At 42.8% G+C, this 20,947-nt stretch overlaps 1 protein-coding gene across 11 annotated transcripts in view, besides 2 other annotated features; it reads left to right on the forward strand.

Annotated features, from left to right (window-relative positions):
* The window catches only part of INSC (INSC spindle orientation adaptor protein), a 158,261-nt gene that overhangs the window by 120,798 nt on the left and 16,516 nt on the right, over positions 1 to 20,947 (forward strand). For 7 of the 11 annotated variants that reach the window (XM_006718227.3, NM_001031853.5, XM_017017697.2 and 4 more), the window contains 4 exons: positions 3,389 to 3,455; positions 6,706 to 6,861; positions 8,234 to 8,310; positions 13,699 to 14,995. In XM_006718227.3, coding sequence (XP_006718290.1) covers positions 3,389 to 3,455; positions 6,706 to 6,861; positions 8,234 to 8,310; positions 13,699 to 13,827 — 429 coding nt within the window. In that variant the 3' untranslated portion in view covers positions 13,828 to 14,995. Of the gene's footprint in view, positions 1 to 3,388; positions 3,456 to 6,705; positions 6,862 to 8,233; positions 8,311 to 9,353; positions 11,528 to 13,698; positions 14,996 to 20,947 lie in introns of those variants that run through there. The other 4 variants (XM_011520086.2, NM_001278315.2, XM_011520085.2 and 1 more) reach the window with 3 other exon arrangements.
* Positions 6,284 to 6,785: an enhancer, noted in NCBI's record as "H3K4me1 hESC enhancer chr11:15260043-15260544 (GRCh37/hg19 assembly coordinates)". NCBI's record gives its function as "activates a minimal SCP1, AML or CMV promoter by ChIP-STARR-seq in naive H9 embryonic stem cells {active_cell/tissue: H9 hESC(naive)}" and the evidence as "EXISTENCE:reporter gene assay evidence [ECO:0000049][PMID:30033119]".
* Positions 6,786 to 7,285: an enhancer, noted in NCBI's record as "H3K4me1 hESC enhancer chr11:15260545-15261044 (GRCh37/hg19 assembly coordinates)". NCBI's record gives its function as "activates a minimal SCP1, AML or CMV promoter by ChIP-STARR-seq in naive and primed H9 embryonic stem cells {active_cell/tissue: H9 hESC(naive and primed)}" and the evidence as "EXISTENCE:reporter gene assay evidence [ECO:0000049][PMID:30033119]".

Raw genomic sequence — 20,947 nt, forward strand, 5'->3', positions numbered from 1 at the left:
TCTCACATTAGCAGCGTGTCTTGGCCACACGGATGCTCAGCCCCCCGAGTGCTGCAGGTTACTTGGCTAGTGTTTCTTGACACAGTCTTTCAAGGCTTGAGTCCTTTCAGGTTCTCCTGCCCAGAGCGAGCCATATTTATTTTATTTAACAAAGGGTGCTTGATATTAACTCATTGAATGCTCATACAGGACTTAAAAGATACCTTTTATTTATTTACTTATTTATTTAGAGACGGAGTCTTGTTATATTGCTCAGGCTGATCTCAAACTCCTGGCTTCAAGTGATCCTCCTGCCTCAGCCTGTGGAGAAGCTGGGATTAAAGGCATGAGCTATGGTGCCTGGCTGAGTTATTTTTATTTCTTGTGGTAGGGCCCCCAGGGATGTCCACATCCTAATCCTCAAAACCTGTGAATAAGTTACTTTATATAGCGACACGGGTTTTCTAGATGCGATTGAGTTAAGATCTTGACATAGGAATGTTATCCTTGATTATCCAGGTGAATCCAGTGTCATCACAGAAGTTCTTGTAAGAGGGAGGGAAGAGGGTCAGAGTCAGAGACTCAAACGTGATTAAGGAAGCAAAGGTCAGAAGGATATACTCCCCTGAGCCAAAGAATGAGAGCAGCCTCTAGAAGCTGGAAAATAGAAACTAGGAAATTGATTTTCCCCTAGAGCCCCCAGAATAAATGAAGATCTGTCAACAACTTGATTTTTGCTATGTAAGACTCATTTAGAACTTCTGACTTCTAGAACTGCAAGATAAAATTGTGTCATTTTAAGCCACTGAGTTTGCGATAATTTGTTATAGCAGCAATAGAAAATGAATACACCAAGCCACAGAAGGTTAGGTAACATGGCCAAGATCATAGCAAAATGTGATAGAGCCAGGATTTAGATGTAGGTTGAGCTACACGCTTAGCTATCACATTATACTGACCTCTCACCTAGGGCCTTTCTCAAGGTGATGTCCTCTGGATTCACCAAACAAATGCAGGGGGAATGGTGCCCTTTCACTTAGGTGGAATAGAACTTAATTGAACATCATCAAACAAGACTGAATTAGCCTGGGTTGGGGAAACTGTCTGCCTGGCTCCTGCACTCTGCCCCCTGACAGCATTGTTAACTTGTATCCAACCAGGTAAAACAGCTGTCCCTAAAATCCCACCCATGGACTTGACTGTGAGGATAAACAGTGACCTCTTTCCCCTCTATGTTATGGTGCACACAAGGATGTTTCACAAGGGGGACTCAAAGCAGGGCATAATTGGCATTTATTCAAATTGTACTTAATTGAATACTTCATCTGCACCTCCAGAAAACCACATGGGGTACAGGCTCTGTAAAGAGGAAGTAATTTTCATTAACAGGATCTAAATTAGTCTGACACAAAGACCTACGTGGTGCCTGTGACACGGCTAATAATTACTGTGTAATGAACCCGTTGCCGCAGACAAAGATTTCCTTTTCTTTTCCTAGTTTGTCCTTCCTTCCTTCCTTTACCTCCCTTCCTCCCTCCTTCCCTCCTTCCTTCCTTCCTCCATGAATCTGCATGTCAAGTAAGTGTTTTTATTCAGAAAGGCCAGCCTGGTGATGGTGGGATGTCTCAGCCCCTGTGTGGTGGAAACAGAGTCCATGCTTTCTGCTAACAGCCCAGAGATAGCCAAACAAACTCTAAACTGACATGGACTTGGCCGTGTACCTCCTCCCTCATAAGAATGTGCACACGATGCCTCTTGGGGAACTTTCCAACCCAGCTTTTTCCTCTAACTCCTTCCACTGAGCCCACAAACGCAATCTTAAAAAGTGCAAAAACAAGTAAATAAATACGTAAAAGAGCCTCTAAGTCCTAAACCTCCTTTAGTCCTATTATTTTCTTAACTGCAAATAGGAGCTAGTCACCCCCTTCTTAAAACACCTGGTGGTACAGAGTTGCTTTCAGGATAAAGGTTCTGGAGTATTCTCCTGTCCTTCCTCTGGCAACCCACTGTAGTCATGCTTATCCAACCAGGCCCCTGATGGGGTCTGAGCTGGGAGGGGTTGTCACACACACAGATGCTGCAGCAGCCAAAGAATGTGGAATCCCCTTCCAATATGTGTTTAGAAGGAAAGGGGAGAGATAGATATTCTATTAATATGGTAAAGTTTTTCCTTTCTGTTTAAAAGAAGACATTTTTAAATGTATTTGTTATCCAGAGTAAAATAGTAATATGTGTTATCCAGAGTAATTAAAATGTAGATAATACTCTTTCTTGGTAGACATAACATTACTATCCAGTTTCAGAATTTTAGCTGCCTGAATTCTACTCAGTAGACTGTCAACTGCTGTCTCAGCGGAGGGGGGACACAGTTTTTGCTTATACCATCCTGCAAGCTTTGAAGAAACCTTTCGAGAGAGAGGCTTGTACCAGTGAGAAGTGTTTTTAAATTTTATTTTATTATTCATTTTAATTACCACTTGAGAGCGCTGTCCATTTCTGTGAAAGTGGGTGAATTTTCATCTTGCTATTTATGTCAGGAGCAGTGTTGTGGGTGGTATCTGAGTTAACAGGTGCCATGTTCCCAATCTATTCCAGTAGCATTTTGGCACCCTTTTGCAGTTTGGGGTCCCTGGAATGAGTCCTCTGTCAGGCCATTCCTTAATCCAGTTTGTGCTGTGAGTTCTTTTCTCCCTTGACTGTACCAGGGGAGGCTGGTTACAACCCACAAAGCTGTAACTGAGACTCACTGTCCACCTGGTGTCAATACCCCATTTCCTACAGGCAGAGACTTTCAGTGATGACTGATAAGCGAGGCTTACCACAGACTTGCAATGTGCAGCTGAGTATGCACTTTCTCATCAGATTCCATGTAATACCCAATGCTTGATAACGCTGCCTCTTCCTACTCATGCCCTCTAACGTGACCTTAGCCTTCATTCATCACAGGTTGAAAGTAGGTGAGGGTTAGTATCCAGGAAAGAAGCTTGGATGGAAGAAGTCAATCCAGAGTAAGAGCTAGCTGTCAGGAGGACAAGCCAGCACAGAGGAGTTTCAGGGGCCAGGGACCTGCTGGTTCTGTCTGCATTTCAGGACTGGGGACCAGAGCAGAAAGACAACCGGGCCCCAACTTCACCCAGGGTTATGCTAGTCTTTCCAGGGTGTCCTGGGGCCCTTGGGGGCCGTCCTATAGCCATAGGCTGATAAATGGGCATTAGTCACCGGGGAAATACATCTGGGTGGCAGGAGCCCATAAGGATGGAAGAAAATGCCGTGGAAGGATAGGCCCGGTGGACAGGAAGGAGTCACGGGATAAAAGGAAGCTTTGTAGCCCCTGGCTGACCTGTCTGTAGGGAGGACTATTAGGATCAGGTGTGCTCATTTTCTGAGGTTTCTAAATTATCTTTTCCAGATTGTGACCATCTTGGCAAACATGTCTGTCCTAGAACAGTGTGCCTCTGACATCATTCAGGAAAATGGTATGTCTTTGCAGCATTGTACATGTTATGTGGATTATCTGGATGTAGGGGACTGTGTCTTTGTGCTTGTGTGAATGCCTGTGCAGGTATGTAAATAGGTACATGTGGCCGGGCGCAGGAATCATGCCTGTAATCCCAGCACTTTGGGAAGCAGAGGTGGGCGGATCAACTGAGGTAAGGAGTTCGAGACCAGCCTGAGCAACATGGTGAAACCCTGTCTCCACTAAAAATACAGAAATTAGCTGGGTGTGGTGGTGGGCGCCTGTAATCTCAGCTACTCAGGAGGCTGAGGCAGGAGAATCACTTGAACCTGGGAGGCGGAGGTTGCAGTGAGCTGAGATCACGCCATTGCACTCCATCCTGGGCAACAGAGCGAGACTCTGTCTCAAAAAAAAAAAAAAAAAAAAAAATAGGTACACGTGTCTCCATGCTTGCCTGAGCATATATGTGTGTGCTTGTATGTGTGCAACTGGGTCTATATATGTGAATATTTGTTTGCTTTTGTGAGGCCTAAATTCTAGTGGAAGACAGATAATGTATAAGAAGATAGCAAATGTCCAGCAATAATAGCGTGACAGTGCCCCGGGGAAAATGAAGCAGGGAAGAAGAGTAAGGTAGTCTCAGGGTGGGGGGGTGGTGGTTGCTATTTTAATAGGGTCATGAGGAGAAGGCAAATATTTCATTATGATCCTCAAATAAAAAAAATCTATTCCTACCAAGGGATACATTCCAACTTTAAATTGTTCCTATCTTATTGGATTTGGCCACAGTAGAAAGCTGAGGAAGGGGTGAGAATGGGAGAGCAGGTCAGGGCAACCTGAATGTCTTGAGCCCTCACTGAGTGCATCTCTTCTCCCACTTGCTCCCTTGTTCCATCTTGTGCTGAACATGTCACCAAGGTCCAGGTGGGGTGGGCCAGGTTTCATTGGCCTGGAAGCTGATCTAAGCTGTTTCTGCCAAAGGACAAGGTGGTGGCTGCCTTGCAGCTGGGAGCAGAGATGGTGAGGGCTTCCTGTGACTGGGAAATAAGGGAGCAATTAGCAACCGGTTGGAAACCAGAGACGCTAATGAGGCGGAGTGAGCTGGGAGCCTGTGCCCGCTGCCTCTGCTCTTGCTAAACCCCCTTCTCCCAGGCTTCCCTGCTGTCTTAACAAACATACACTTTCCCATCCCCCATTGCTCTGTTACTAATTGAAGGACATCATTTTGTGTTAATTTTATGTGATTGAGCTAATAATGAGAAACTTTGCTGAGCCAGCTGAGGCCATGAAGCTGAGCTACTGCATCTGTGCTCCGTTCTTTCGGTACTTATAGAGCCTTACGTTGAAGTGTTCAGTGGGAGTGGGTCTCCATAGGCCTGTGAATTTGAGATTGGAATATCTGGCATCTGTAGAGGGTTTTATGGTTCACAAAGTGCTATTGACTGACTGAATCAGTAAACAGTTATTGAGACCTAATATGTGCCTGGCATTGTGCTAGACAATGAGAACAGAGATAACTAAATCCCTGTCTTTGTCCTAGAGGATCTCACAGTCTAGACAGAGAGCACAACTTAACAAAAGTGACATATGATAAAAATATAACATCTACAATAGAATAATGCAACAGAGGGAGGTTGGCATGGTGGTTGAGGTTGAAAACTGGAACCATACTCTGTGGGTTTGAATCCTGGCACTGTTGTTTACTAACCATATGACCTCTCTGTTTTTTCATCTGCAAAATGAGAATAATCCCTACCTCATAAGGATGTTGTGAGGATTAACATGAAGCACGTTAGAAGATTGTCTGGCACAGAATGAGCACTATGCTAAGCCCCCCTGCTCTTTCAGGAAACAGTGGCAGTCTCACGGGGTTTACCTGAAGAGAGTTTAATGAAGGAGCTATTTTCCAAAGCAGGGCAGGATTTGAGGAATCAACAATGGTGTCAATGCAACTGGTGTCTACTGGAAGACAGGCCTCTAAGGTCTGGACAGGGCAAATCTTGTTGTGCAGACTGGGCTTTGAGAGTCCATGGTCTAAATAACAGGTTGCAAACTTAGATGCCTACAAAACTCAGACAGGTAATGTAAATGGACGAGGCGAGCTCACCAGAGACAGGATCAATCTCTTTTAAAGAAGGAACTCATAATAAGCTTTAACAATTTGTTGTGCAGAAATGAGGTCCTAGGGTTAAAATTCAGGAGGCAGTTTCAGAAGTCAGAAATCTAGATTTTTATAGAAATCCTCCAGTTAGCACACTATCAAAAATCTAAAAAATTGTAGACACTATATGGGGCAACAAAACAAAGCAAAACTATATCCTTGGGTCATGTCTGGCTTAAGTTCTAAGCTGGCAGGAGCCACTGGGTGCAGAAGAGGGGAGTGTGGGATGGGCAGTTGGGCAACAGCTCACACAGAAGATGAACTTTTGCTACAACCTGCAGGGTGGAGTTTTTTAGATGGAGCGTCAAGAGGGAAAATGGCATCCCTTGTAGAAAGAAAGAGTGGGTAAAGGCAAGGAGGTATGAGCGGACATGGGTATGGTTTCTAGAACAATCAGAAGACAAATCTGGTTTCAGGGAGAGGTAGGAGGCTTCTCAGCAGAGATTATTCGGTTGAAAACTCTCAGTCTAACTACTGCACCCTTTTCCAGGTTGAATTTACTCTAAAACATTTGATCTAGTCAATATCCAGCTTAGGTTTGGATCACCTCTTACCTGGGGGATTCATCACCACTGGACCTGTCTCAGAAGCAGCCAGTATCAGAAGTGAAGAGGTGATGTAGAGAAACCAGTTATCTGAGTTTCTTTCGTTTTCTTAATCCTAAATGTGATGCTACATCTGAATTTTAATAGCGGCTCCCCCAACTGCTAACCATGTGACACTGGGCAAGATACTTCACTTCTTTCTGGGCTTCAAAATGGAATTGTAATGGTACCTAATACATGAGGCTACTGGAAGGTTTTAGGGCATTATGCATTTACTATGCATTTAGCACAGTGCTGAGTGTGTAGTAAAAGCTCAATAATAGCATTAAAAAATAAAGATGTCTTCAGATGCTCCTCCCAAGTATAGTGACTTGGTACATGGAGACACCCTCAGGAGAAGAAGGCATGGAGGAACAGCCTTGTCCAGCTTCCTCCCTGTGGGTGAGACCCCTGAAGTCATCCTGACAGCCTTTGCTTGCACCCTGCAGCCATCTGTCCAGCTGGCCCCATGGGGAAGGCTCCATGCTGGGGTAGGTACCAACTGTTCCTTGCTTCCTGCCTAGGGGTCCAGCTTATCATGGGCATGCTGTCTGAAAAACCAAGGTCTGGGACTCCTGCTGAAGTGGCAGCCTGTGAGCGAGTCCAGCAGAAAGCTGCAGTGACCCTGGCTCGTCTCAGCCGAGACCCAGATGTGGCACGGGAGGCCGTGCGGCTCAGCTGTGAGTGGTGCTTTCTGGCTGTGGCTGGAGTGGAGTGGGGGTATTGGGGGTGGGAGCAGCTCTGATTTCACAGTGGCAACAGTGGACACAGGGCAAGAGCTGGCTGGCATAAGCCCTGTCTCTGGGGGCTCAGGGGTGGAGGCTCAGGGGTGCAGCCGCTGGTCTAGTTTGTAACTTGGGGCCGAAGCAAGAGGGAGAAAGGACCTAGAGAGGTGAAAGTTGGCCAGAACAGTGACTCACCTGCAGACTGTTAATAAGAACCCCATTCTTTCATTCACTCATTCATTTATTCACTTGCTCAGTTATTCATATACTCATTTATTTACTTGTCTACTCACTTGTTCATTTACTCATTAATTTATCCTTTAGTTCATTTATTCATTAACCCATTCATGACTTCATTATTCACTATTAACTCATTCATTAATTCACCCATTAACATGCTCATTCATTCAGTCACTTATTTACCCAACAAATATTGTCAGAGCACCCACCCTATGCTAAGCTCTGTTCTGAGCGCTGGGCATGTAACACTGGATATGACATTGTCCTGACCCCAGGGGCTCACAGCCTCATGGAGGTGACAGATAAAAAAAGAGATATTCTCACTTCAGTATCATGGGAGTGACACCCAAAGCATGTCCATGGTGCATTTGGCATGCACAAGAAGTAGCTCATGTTTATCTGGGTGAGTCAAAGAATGGTTTAACAAGGGGGTGAGTCCTCTGCTGTGGTTTGATGGGTAAGTTGCTCCTATGTGAAGGCTGAGAAAGGGCTCTTCGGGAAGAAGCATGAGAAAAGGCATGGCAGTGTCACCAATCATCCAGGTACCCAGAGGGACAGCCTGGGGCAGCAGAGGGTTCCTGTTCCTTCAAGACCTTACAGAAGATGGACACACAGACTGCATTTGCATACCTTCTACTACTATCGTATAATGAGGGTGTCTTTTTTTTCTTAAAGTGTAAAAAGAAGTCAGTCTGCATTGCAAAGCTAAGTCATTCACTTAACTCTCCTCAGTAAAGCCCTAGGAAATATTAGTAGAGTCTGTAGTTTTATTTTATTTTAGCCACAGTATATTTTCTGATTGAAATTGGCACTTGAGAAAAAAAAAGACACAGTTAGGAATTTTGTCTGGTAAAGATTCAAATGTTAACCCGCATCTGTGGGTTTGGCTTGGACTCTTCAGCTTGGCCTGACCCTGACCCGGGTCTGTTCACCACTGAGGGAGTAGTAAGTTTCCACCACAGACTCCCCGAGGTGGGTTCAGTCCCCTTCTCTGGCAGATTGGGTGTGCAAGGGAGGCCCAGAACCTCTGGGTCAGGCCTGGCTGGGCCCTGTCCTGGGCCTGAGGCTCTCCCTGTGTCTCCTACAGGCATGTCCCGTCTCATCGAGCTCTGCAGATCCCCATCAGAGAGGAACAGCAGTGACGCCGTGCTTGTGGCCTGCCTGGTGAGTTCTCAGTCTTCCCCCAGCTTTTCCCCTGGCCTTCGGAATGCAGCCAAGGGGGCCAGGAGAACCGGCTGTGCTGTGGCTGGCTTCAGTAAGCCATAAAACCTCTCTGGGCTTTAGCTTTTCTCTTTAGGATTGTGAACATTGTAATATTTGTTTCACTTAATTCATAAAATCATGATGAAAATTATATGAGGTCATATGTGTGAAAGATGAGGGCTGAGAAACTCCCTCTTCCCTCTGTTCTACCACTACAATTTTAGGAACCAGGAACCTTTGAGGTTCCTGTGGAACGCTAGCTGGTCGTGTCTATGTCATGGTGCCTGCAGAACATGGGAGCTAGGATAGGGATATCCCCTGCCTATTCCAAAGGGAATAAAGTGAGAAAAACCTCCACTTGTCCCTACAGGGAGCCCATCTGCTGGTGCTCTTCCAGCATTGTAGCTCTCTCCTCCTTTGTGGAATAGAAAGAGAAGGAACATGACAAGACAGAGTGGACTATTCAGCAGCCACCTGGATCTTCACCTTGAACACAAGCAAGTGTCTCCTAGGAAGTCCCCACCCAACTTCTTTTTGCTAGGGGTCCACCATGAAATAATCAATAGTACCAGAGAGAAAATGCATGCTTCGTCTATATATTCTTCCCTACTAGGTCTCTAAGGACTCCCAAAGTAGAGTAGCTTCCATTTAGGAACATTTAGGAGTAGGGAAGCCACTCTATAAACACAACCCTTAACTTCCAGAAGAAAGTGCTGGCTCTTGTGTTCAAAGAACATAAGGGGGAAGTGATGGATTTAAAGATCCTTCAAGCTGTCTCACAGTAAAGTCCTCTCCTCAGCCCATTTTGAGCTGAGCTTGTCTCTTTTCTGGGAGTTTCTGATGGGCGTTGTGCCGTTGTAGAAACAGTGGGGCATTGCAGTCAATCAGACCTGTCTTGGTTGTACCATTAATGAGCTGTGTGACATTTGATAAGTCACTCAGTGCTATACATTTTATTCAATAAATGTTTATGGAATGATTCTGCGTTCCATTCACTGTTCTAGGCTATGGGGATACAGCTGCAGGTAAAAAAGACAAACATCTCTGCCCTCCTGCTGTGGTTTTTATTTTGGCACATTCAAGGTAATCTTAATCTTTTTGTATCTTTGGTACTCTGGTGAAGCTTACGGAGCCCTTCTCAGAATAATCCTTTAAATGCAAAAAAGTAAAATATATAGAATTAAAACCAAAGTGAATTATATTAAAAATTATTAAACTATTTAAGTATGTGATATATTAATATATTTGCTTTTTAGTCAACACATCATTAAATAAGACCTAGCAGTAAGCCTAGTAAGTATTGTCATCTTGACTCATGTGGACCATAAATGGTATTTGAAAATATTTTCAACAACTTTCACGGGCTGTGAAAGTATTTGTAATTTCTACTGGGAAATCACAAATCACAGGGTTTGTGAAGATGCCATGGTTTGTTGCTGCATTCACATTGCAACTGAAGGAAATGCTAAGTTTCAGTTACAGGTTGGTGAAAATAAAGATGTAACTTTTTCTCATTCAAGTTCACAGATCCTCTTAATTCTGCCTGTTCTAGCAAGTGAAGTGAGAGGAAATTAACATGTAATGATTGGCCCCAACTACCACTGCCTGACACTGAATAGGCCCTGAGGAAATGTTGGTAGCATTGAAAGCACTTGGGAAACTATAAAACTCCATTCAGATATGAAGGCTTGTGATTATTACAGCTATCATTTTTATTAGTGTGAAGGAGAGCACACAGAAGAGCTTGGCTACTATCTTTAATCACTTGAAGGACTTTCAAGCCGAAAAAGGATTATATCTTGTGGATGAGTTGGTGGATGCTGAAGAGAACCCCTCCCTCCCTAATCCATTCTCCGTGTGGCTTCTGAGTTAATTTTCCTAATGACAGTTTATAATCATGACACTTTCATGAAACCCCCATGGAACCTTTCTGTGGTTCCTCATTATCTCTGGGCCACTGTCCATCTGTTCGGCCCTTCTCAGTCTGGCTCCAACCCATCCCTAGGGCTGCAGACCTACCACTCTCTCCAGGCCCTGTCCACCTGGGCTAAGCCAGAACACCCTGAACTGTGCCGTGATCCTTGCTCCCAGCAAATGTTTTCTCTGTAAATCTGTGTATTAAAATTCTGCCAATCCTTCCAAGCTTAGATCTAAATCTCTCTTCTTCACAAAATTTTCCAGGAGCTCTCTGTGGTGCAAAGCCAGAGAGTACACAGCATGAACCTGAGCCTCCTCTCTTGGGTTTTGTTTGACCAAGTCCAAGGCAGGTTCCATTATCTTTGTCCCAGGTGTTTTAAGGGGAGGCTCTTGGAATTCAGACATAGGCCTGCCTGATTCTAGAGGCCTGCACTTTTCAACCAGACCATCTTGTTCCAAGCCATGCTCTTTCTCTCCCACTCTCTTACAGCACTGGTCTCCAGCACTGACTCATGGAGGAGGATTTGTACTTTTCCCCCTCTAGCCTGGAACCTTCCCAGGGCAGAGGACTTTTTCCAGCATTTTGTATATCCATGGGACCTTGAGTTTGGTGACTATGTATTAATTGATTTGGGGACTGACAGACTTGCTTCCTCTTTTCCTAGCTCCCAGTCTTGGGGGTGTCCATGGTTTGTCCCTAGGAGTGTTCCAACATTTGAGTGTGGTCTCCTGGTTGGTGAGATTCACTTGGAGCCTAGCCTGGCAGATGGAGTTAGAAGCCACCATTCCTGCTCTTCCCCAAGGCGTTTCCCAGCTTCAAAGGCTCCCTTCAGGTAGAGGGAGGAAGTTTCACTTATTGTCTCCCCTGTCTGGGAAAGTGGCAGTGCAGATCATCTCTCCCAAAAAGAATGGATTTTTCCTGAATGAAGCAGCTGTCAGTAGGTTGCCAGGCTTGTTTAATGCTTGGGTGTTTTCAGGCTGTCTGGGAATGAGATTCTAGGATGACTAGCTGTTTAACCCTCCCAGAGAAGCAGAGGCTGAGAGAAGGGTTGGCAAGGGTGCAGGGTCCTTTGAGGCTGCTGCACACTGAGGAGGGGGTGCTCTGAGCTACTGTAGGGTTCATGTCCTGTAGACTTTCTGGGGGCCCTGGGGAGGTAAGGGTGTCTCTTCTCTCTCTGCCGCTCTCTGTTGTGTTTTGGTTTCTGCTTTGCTCTCTTTCTAGGGTTTGCCTTCTCTCTTAGCAGTTTCTCTTTCTTCTTTCCCTTCTTCCCCTCTTTTTATCACCATAACTCCTTTCTCTCCTTCTCTACTCCTTCCTTTTTCTCTCTGCCTCCTTACCTCACCCTACCTCTCTCCTATTATCTCCCCTCCCCCTAAGGGCTCTCTCTTTTATTTTCTTTGCCACTATTTCTTTTTTTTTTTTCCTCCATCTCTTTTTTATACTTGGTCTTTTTTCTTCACCAAGTTCATCTCTGTCTGTTTTAATATTTCCTTCTTGTTCTTTTTTCTCTGTTGTCTCTTTTTCTCTGTTTCTTGGCTATTTCCCTTTTCTGTCTTATTTGCTCTCTTGATAGGTCTATGTTCTATTTCGCTCTGTCTCCTTGTCTCCCTTCTTGCTTTATTTTTATCCCTAATGATGCAAAAATGCATTGGTGGCCTTGTTTCCTCATCTTCAGAAAATCCCTGGTTCTGTTTTCATGGTGACAACTCAGGGAAAATGGGGTTATCTTTCCCAGTTGGAGCCAAGAAGAATCAGAAAGTGCTGTGAAGTTTACCCTTGTTAGTCTATGGGGTAAACCACGCCCCATGAGAGTCGAGATGTGTGTGTTAGAGGCAGTTCTGGGGAGTCTACTTCCTGTTGCTAGGGTCACAGACCCTGCTCATTAATGCACAGAGACACACGCTCCTTCTCTTTGACCTGGCCTGGACATGACAGCACCTGTGACTCCCAGCAACCAGCTCAAACTATCCTCTCTTTTCACTTTGTTGGCCTGATTTCTCAGCAACAGGCTACCTGCCATGTCCAGGTAATGAGTGGTACCCCTGCCTTGTGCTCAATATAACCTTGTATCCTGGGGTTGCAGCATCCTACCTGTGTGCATAGGTCTGAGTGCCCTGGAGTCAGACTCCTGTGTGATGTCTGGAAGGCCACTTTCCCCCTCTGAGCCCTAGTTTCCTTATTTCCAAAAGGGAGATCATGACACTTAGCTTGCAGCATCATGTAGGGATTAAGTGAGGTGCTATGGGGAGATTCTCAGTGTTTGCATTCCCTCCTTCTTTGCTTCTTTTGCCATTCTAGATATTCCCCCACTCTTTTTGCTTCCAGGGGTGGGAGAGGAGGGGCACCTTGTTCCCTGCTGTGTATATGCTCAGGAAGAGGGAAGAAATTAATATTTATCAAGCACTTAGCATGCATTGTCTCAGTTAACTGGTAAACAGGTCTAGGTAGGTGCACAGCTCACATTTAGTTTCAGGTTGCTCTATCAGCAGATCTCAATATTAAAGCACTTCGTTTATTCATTTCTTTTCAGCCAACATTTATTGAGCCCTGTGCCAACCTCTGTGTTGTCTGCTATAGATACAGAGAAATAGAAAACAAGATCCTTACTCTCGAGGAGCTCAGAGTCTAGTGTGGGAGATAAATACCTAAAAGCTAGTTATGGCCAAGTGTGAGAAGCTTGAGGTCAGCCCAGGGGCCCTGGTTGCACAGGGGAGGGAGGGATGGACTGTCTCTGCTTCAGGATAATTGGGGAAGCCTTCATGGGGGAGGTGACAATAGGCAGGAGCAGGAAGTCACTTCAAGTCACAAGTAAGAGTATGAGCAAGGAGGAGGGGGTATAGCTCAGAGGTAGAGCATTGGGCTGAAGATTAAGAATATGAGCAAGGACACATGGACACAAAATAGAAATAGCATACTCATTGCTCATTGTGTGGGGAGCTGGGGAGTGATTTTATTCTGCCAGCACCTCTCTTTCCTGTTCATCCCCCTTGCCAGGTGTTGAATTTCTCAGTAGCAGAATCCCTGTCTACTTTTACAATATGTTCTCCCTCTCTTTTCCTCTTTTTTCCATAGTGCTTTCTATAGCACCTTGCTGAATTTATGGATGAATGAATAGTTCTTGCTGTTCTAAGGTTACTCTAGGGATCTGGAAATAATAAAGACCATTATTAAGATTATTAACAGCTTTCAGATGACATCTATCTTAGTGATCAAGGTGCAAATAAAGCTAGCTGACCAAGAGATGTGGTTGCTATGTTGACCAGGTGACCAAGATGGTGACTGAGATGCCAAGTGGCTAACATGATGATCAACCCAAATTGTCTGGTAAATGCACCACTTTCTGAAATGCACATTTCAGGGTAGGTGAAGGAAATACATGTACCTGACATGGCCCAGTCTGACACGTGTCACCTCTTCTGTCTTCTCCCCAGGCTGCTCTGCGTAGATTGGCTGGGGTCTGCCCTGAAGGCCTCCAGGACTCTGACTTTCAGCAGTTGGTCCAGCCTCGGCTGGTGGACTCCTTCTTACTCTGCAGCAACATGGAGGAGAGTTTTGTGTAGTGAGTGTGGGCGAAGAAATACATTTGGCTGTTCTCACACCCCCTCTGACTATGCACCAGTGAACACATCTGAGTACATACCAGCTCTCCTCATCTTCTTATTTATACTTAACTTATTTTTGTGTGAAATAAATGGAGGACAAAATCTTAGAGCAACATCATCAAACAGTCTTTGGTCCTTGAGAATCTTCTTTGTGTTTTATTTTTTGATTTCTGTAGCTTTTCAGTTGCAGATGTTGAAATTCGTAATGACAAATATGACAAATTGTCATGGGTGATTCCACTTCATCTTATTTTTTCTACTCTCACTATACAATCTTGCCTCATTTTTTAAAACTTTGGAACCAGAGGATTTCAACTGCCTAGCAAGTTTTTTTTTTAAGTTGGATTTGCTCTTCCCAAAAATCTAAAATGAATTTAATAATTGGGTAGAATATATTGGAAAGAAGTTTCTTTTTCTTTAATAAATGGAATCATATAAAATGTATCCCGGATTTTCTTATTAAATTGTATTTTAAACTAGGTTCTTGCTTCCCAGGTTTCATTCCCCAAAAACTTTTCCAACCATTAAAAGTACACACAGAATTGTCTTGTTTTCATAGGTGTATAAATAGGTTAAGTTCTGAGTGACTTAGTGAGAAACCAAAGTGACTTTCAAAAATACACCCAAAGGCACCAGAAACCCTGCTTCCTTTGGCTTCTTTGCTTTTGTGTAACCTCCTGTTCACCTCCTGGTGAATAGAATCCTCAGATGAGGCTTATTGAATGATTGATTCCTCCTCAAAAGTATACTTGAAAGCAGTGGTGTGCTGAAGCCAGCTCATGCCCACTCACAAGGGACAACTGTGAGAATTTCTTCCTAACTCTGCACTCAGTGACCTTGCGTTGGTAGCCATGAGCTACTTCATGAGCCCTCATGTTGAAATTGGCCATAGTGGGAGTATTTACACCACAGAAATTCACAGATGCTATAAAGCACAGCTTTCGCTTTTTTTTTTTTTAGAGAGAGCTGGTTTACCAATTTCACTGCTTGAAAGTATCACAAAAATCTGGGGATCCTTTTGAAAATATAAATGCCATCATATTGTGATATAATTTATACAATATAATATAATTGTGTAAAATCATGATTATAATAATGTTTCAATAAACATTTCTTAAATTCCCAATTACTAGTTTACATGAGTTAACCTAATGAACCAAGTCCTGGGCTAAGCATCTAATTTGCATTATCCAATTTATTCCTCACAATAATCACATGAGTATTAATTAGTATATTCATATATGTTATTACATATGATCAGGTTATTAAATTACTTGCACAAGGTCAGTAGCTAGTAAGTGGTGCTAGGATTTGATTCTGGCAATAGCTATTACCAAAGCCTTTGTGCTGAAGTCATATGCTATATACAAAGGTAATGTCTAGGTCCTCCCACCTAATGTGATGATGATTATTATTATTACGATAGAAAACACTTGTGCAACATTAACCAGGTGCCATGGACTTGTTTTATATTATTCTCAGTATAGATATTAACATTTACTACTACATACCCATTTTACAGAGAAGAAACAGAGGAAACTCATTTTACAGATACAACAATGGAGCTGAAGTAGCAAGAAAATGGCAGACCTTGGATTCAAACCAAGGTCTTCTGAGTCCTTATACAAAGCTTCCATTTTTAGAAATAAGGTATATATATATATATATATATATTTCACTGAGTTGTGCAGATTGTTCAGATATTGGCAACTTTCATTATATGATATCAACAGACAACTTTTGTTAATATCATTATGATCTCATCTGAAAAGTTTTTAAATATTGGGAAACTATCAAGCTTGAAAGCATAAATTTTGTCATTGGCAACAAATACTGTCAGCTGTTTCCCTTGAAGAGACGGACTCGCTTTGTTCATTTTTGAGAAAATATCTGCCAAACTCCTCAGTCTCAATAACCACAGTTTGTCAATTGTTCTTTCAAGTAAAGGTAGTGTTCCACAGAAAAAGCAACTAGTTGATACTGCAATTGAAACAATCACATAAGTGCCTTTCTCTTGAAACTGACACGCATTCTGCTTTGGCATACAGTAGAAGTGCCTGAAATGCAGTTCTCATATCACTCAGAATAGTTAAAATGGCATGTACCAGGGGTCAGAATTTAATACACTTAATAATTTTTACTGCTTCATCAAGGATATTCCTAAGTGGAATTGGCATTTTAAAAATTTAAGTGTGTGGCAGTGAAGAATACAATAACTGTAAGTACAATTTGGTGCCACTGCCTTGATCATATTAAGGTGCAATTTTACTTACCATTGCTTTTGCACCATTAGTGCAAATGTCAATAAGTGGAGAAAGGTAAATAACTTCTTAGTATTTTTATAAAAATAGTTTCGACCTCACAGAGCTCCTGAATGTGTCTTAGGACTCCCCAGAGATCAGGGGCCCTACTTTGAGAATCACTGATCTAGTTTAATACTAATTTTATGGTGAGGAAACTGAGGCCGGTGTTGAGGGGAAGCAAATGATTTTTCCCCAAAGCATACAGAATGAAGACTAAATCGCAGCCTTTTGCATTCAGGGTCAAAGTTCTGCCCATTCCTCAATATCAGGCTAGTTGGTCGCTAATATCACAGAACTGGAAGAGATTAAAGGAGAGTAGCTCTTCAGATAATATATAATGTTGAAAATTTCTACACTGCAACCTTTATTATGAAGGTGCATGTATATCAACCAGGGGCCTAGTAGGAAACAGACTTTAACTCAGGTGGTTCAAATAACAAAAGTTTTAGTAAAGAGACTATTTGGAGACTTGAATGCCGAGTTAAGGAAGCTATTGAGGGATGCTGAGTCACCCAGAGACTAACCACCAAGGTAAGCCCTTACCATCCTAAGAGCAGAAGGGTCAAGTGAGATAATAGTGTTACCAAAGTCCACTGACAGCTGCAGTTGTGGCAGAAGGGCTTATCCGGTGGGAGCCATAAGGACTCAGCCGCTGTGAGTGACATGGAGTCTGGGCAGGGAGGAAGGACAGAAGTACCCAGACCATCTCTTCTCACCTTCTGACCTCCTTCCAGTGCCTCCCATTGGCTAGTACTCTGGTAAGAGCCAGTTATGAAATCCTCTGGAACAAGCCTCTTTAGAAGAGAGCAGGGCAGAGAAGAGTAGAGATTGGATCTGGGTAAGGTTAGGATGGGGCCAAACTGAGAATAATAGGCACAGGTAGAAAAGTCTACATCCTTTCTTATTCCTCTGAAAAGCAACCAGTATTACTTTGGGCCTGAAGCAAACCATCAAGTAACAGGATTTATGAAACTTGTTTTAGAGAAGGAGAAGATAGGGGGGTTATAGGTAGAAGCAAATAATATCCCTCCTTGGAGCCTTGCTTCAGAAAGAAGAACCAGGAAGGATGGAGTAGGAGATGGCAGCACCTGGTGAAAGGGAAGTAGATTGTGTCCCGGGCCTCAAAGTAAGGAAGATACAGATATTCAGGGAACTACCTGTCCCAGGCCTTAGAGAAAGGAAGATAGAGATATTCAGAAGTTGGTGCAGAGCTGAATCAACTGCAGCAGACTGTCAAAATCACAGGAGGTCCATAAAGAGAGGAGTCAGCGTGGTTGGTGGTTCCTGGAGATGGGACCAAAGGCTGTGGCCAGAAGTGTGCTCCAGGGAAAGGTAGAAGAGTCTCCATCTTCTACACCAGCCCTTGGCTCTGCCGCATGGTTTTTCCATAGTAACTTTCACCCTGCTGACTCTCTACCTACACTCTGTACAAGACAACTACTATACTGGGCAGGGCATTGGCCAGCTATGTGGCCTTAGGCCTTCATGATTGAGGCCATGGGCATAAAGTCCTCACTGGTCAGGTGCAGCACAAGTTAGCTCAGGTCACACAGATCAGGTTGGAATGGGGGGTGGCTGATTGATTAAAAGTTAGGATTTTCTTGGCCTAAAGCATACACATTGCCTGAAATCTTCCTTTATCTCTAGGCCCTAGGACAGGATTAAGGCTGGGACTGGGTTCTCAGGAAGCCCACAGGTTGAGTAGAGTCTACATCTATATACTGTGTCTAGATGGGGAAATCCGTACACCCAGATTCTTTAGGATAGCTAGGCAGCATGCTATGGAGAAAGAGTCACCACTAGTTGGAATCAGGAGGATTCCTCCATGAGTTAAAAATCCTAGCTTTACCACTTTACTGTTGTTGACTTTGGACAGGGCTTTGTACCTCTATGAGCTTCTGTTCTCTCATCTGTAAAGTAGGGATAATACTCCTGCCTGATCTCCCTCTTAGGTTTAGGATTAAGATTAAGCGAGATCATTTGTATGGAAGTTCTTAGTAAACTATAAAGTTCTGTGCAAATGTAAGTTGTTGTCATCATCATAACTGTCATCATTTTGGAAAGGACTCCATAGATGACCCAGTACTTCATTTTCCTTATGCTGGGCCCCCTTGATAGTATCCCTTCTAACAGAATCCTCCATTATTGCTCACGCATCTCCACTGAATGTCATTACTTTCTCTATTATTTGACAGTCCTTAGGATTATGAAGTTTCACCCTATATGAAGCCATAATCTGAAAATTCATCTGTTGGTCCTAGTGTTGGTGTCTATCTCTTGGCATGTTATCTGTTCAACAAAAGAAATTACTCTCAAATTTAGTGGCTTAAAACAGTAACAACTACAACAACAGCAACAACAACAACAAATTTATTCTTATATTTCCTGTGGGTCAGATTTTCAGAAATGGCTTAGCTGAGGGGATATGGCTCAGGATTTCTCCTAAGTTTCTAATGAAGATGTTGAAAGCATTTACAGAATGGCAGAGCAAGGGCTCCCAAAATCTGCTTCTCCATAAAAGCAATGAGAACACTGTTTAAGATTGTAAAAATCAATTTTTTCAGAACTTTGAAAATTAATTAAAGGCTTGCAATAATCCAAGAAGTTCTAAAGAAAAAGGCCTGAATCTCTGTAAGAACAGTGAGCTTTGTAGTGCTTAACCTGTCTCATTCTCATACCTCTCTCCCCAGCTCCAGGGTATTCTTAAAGACCAGCAGCCTCAAAACTATAATAGCTGTGAAAACCAGCAAGCTAGCAGCTCCTGGAAGAAGCAAAATGAGTTTGGAGTTTCTGTAAAAACTCCAACTAGACATCCGCATGCAAAAGTAATCCAACTGGAAAGCTACATTATGCCAAACACAAAAATTAACAGAAAATGCATGATAGACCTAAGTATAAGAGCTAACACTATACAACTCTTCGAAGTAAACATAGGTGTAAATCTTTATAATCTTGGGTTAGACAATGGTTTCTTGGCTATAATACCTAAAGCACAAGTGACAAAAGAACAAATAGATAAATTGGACTTCACCAAAATTAAAAACTTTTGTGCTTCAAAGATCACCAATAAGAAAGTGAAAAGGCAACTCATGGAATAGGCAAAAATATTTTCAAGTCACATGTCTGATAAGGGGTTGATATCAGATACAATAAATTCTTATAATTAAACAATAAAAACACAACCCAGTTAATAGCTGGACAAAGGATTTGAATAGATATCTCTCCAAAGGAGGCATAGAAATGGTAAAAAGGTATGTAAAAGATGCTCAACATCATGAGTCATTAGGGAATGGAAATCAAAATTGCAATGAGGTACCACTTCATTCTGGTGGGATGGTATGGTGGGATGGTGGGATGGTAAAATAGTACAGCTGGTGGGATGGTAAAATTGCTGGTGGGATGGTAAAATAGTACAGTCACTTTGGAAAACATTCTGTTAGTTCCTCAAAATATTGAACATAGAGTTATCATATGGCCCAGCAATTCCACTCATGGTATATGTTCAAAAGAAATGAAAATGTATGTTCACACAAAAACTTATACACTAAGGTTCATAACAGCATTATTCATAGTTGCCCAAAAGTAGAAACAACTCAAATGTCTATTAGCTGATAACTAGTTTTAAAAATGTGATAAATCATACAATGGAATATTATTTGGCAATAAAAAATAAAGCATTGATGTAGGCTACAACAGTGATTAACTTTGAACACATTATGCTAAGTGAAAGAAACTAGTACAAAAGGCAACATATTGTATTGTTCCAAATATACGAGATGTACAGAATAGCCAAGCCTTCATGAATAGGCAGTCGATTAGTTGTTGTCAGGGGATTTGGGGAGGAGGAATGGGGAGTAACTGCTAATGAATATGGAGTTTCTTTTTGGTGTGATGAAAATTAATGGTGAATGTTGCACAACTCTGTGAATATACTGAAAATCCAGTGAATTATACACTTTAAAAGGATGAATTTATGATATGTGAATTATATCTCAGTTAAAACTGTTACTTTAAAAAATGTGTCAGCCAGGGCTGCGATCATGTGAAGACACAAATAGGATTGGAGGATCTGCTTTCAAGGTTGCTCACTCAGCTGGCTGGCAAGTTGGTGCTGGTTAGTAGTGGGAGGCCTCAGTTCCTCTTCATTGGAGCCTCTCCGCAGGCTGCTTCAGCGTCCTCTTGATATGGCTTTTAGCTTCCTCTAGAGTGAGTGATCCAAGAGAGATAGAGGCCGATAGAATCTATCCTTTTTATGCGCTAGTCTTAGAAGTCACTTAGATGACTTCTGACACATTTTGTTAGTTAGAAGCATGTAACTGAATCTAGCCCTCATTCAAGGAAAGGGGAATGAAACTCCACTGCTTGAAGAGTGGATGAATTATCAAAGAATTTTCAGACATATTTTAAAACCACCACATTGATTATATTTTTAGCAAGGCTTTTCTGTCTGATATGCTACTTTACTAGTCACATTCATGTTCTCCAAATTCTTTCTAAACTGCTCACTCAATTTCAGGAAGTCTAATGTGTCAATATCTCTCAGGTCCCAACCACCATCTCCCTGTGTCCCACTGCCATCAAAATGAGCATACAGAACTGAAAACAAACCCACTCCTTTTCCCTCTACTCCCCTCCACATCTCTCACCATGCCAGCCACCAGCTGTGGTAGAACAAAGCCAGAAATAATTGCATTTGCTAGAAGAATATAGGTAAAGAGAAAATTACCACTGAAGTTTGATTTCAAAAACAACAGTTCAAAAGGGAATAAAAGGAA

The sequence above is a fragment of the Homo sapiens genome, chromosome 11 (genome assembly GCF_000001405.40).
Source record: "Homo sapiens chromosome 11, GRCh38.p14 Primary Assembly".
Classification (NCBI taxonomy): domain Eukaryota; kingdom Metazoa; phylum Chordata; class Mammalia; order Primates; family Hominidae; genus Homo; species Homo sapiens.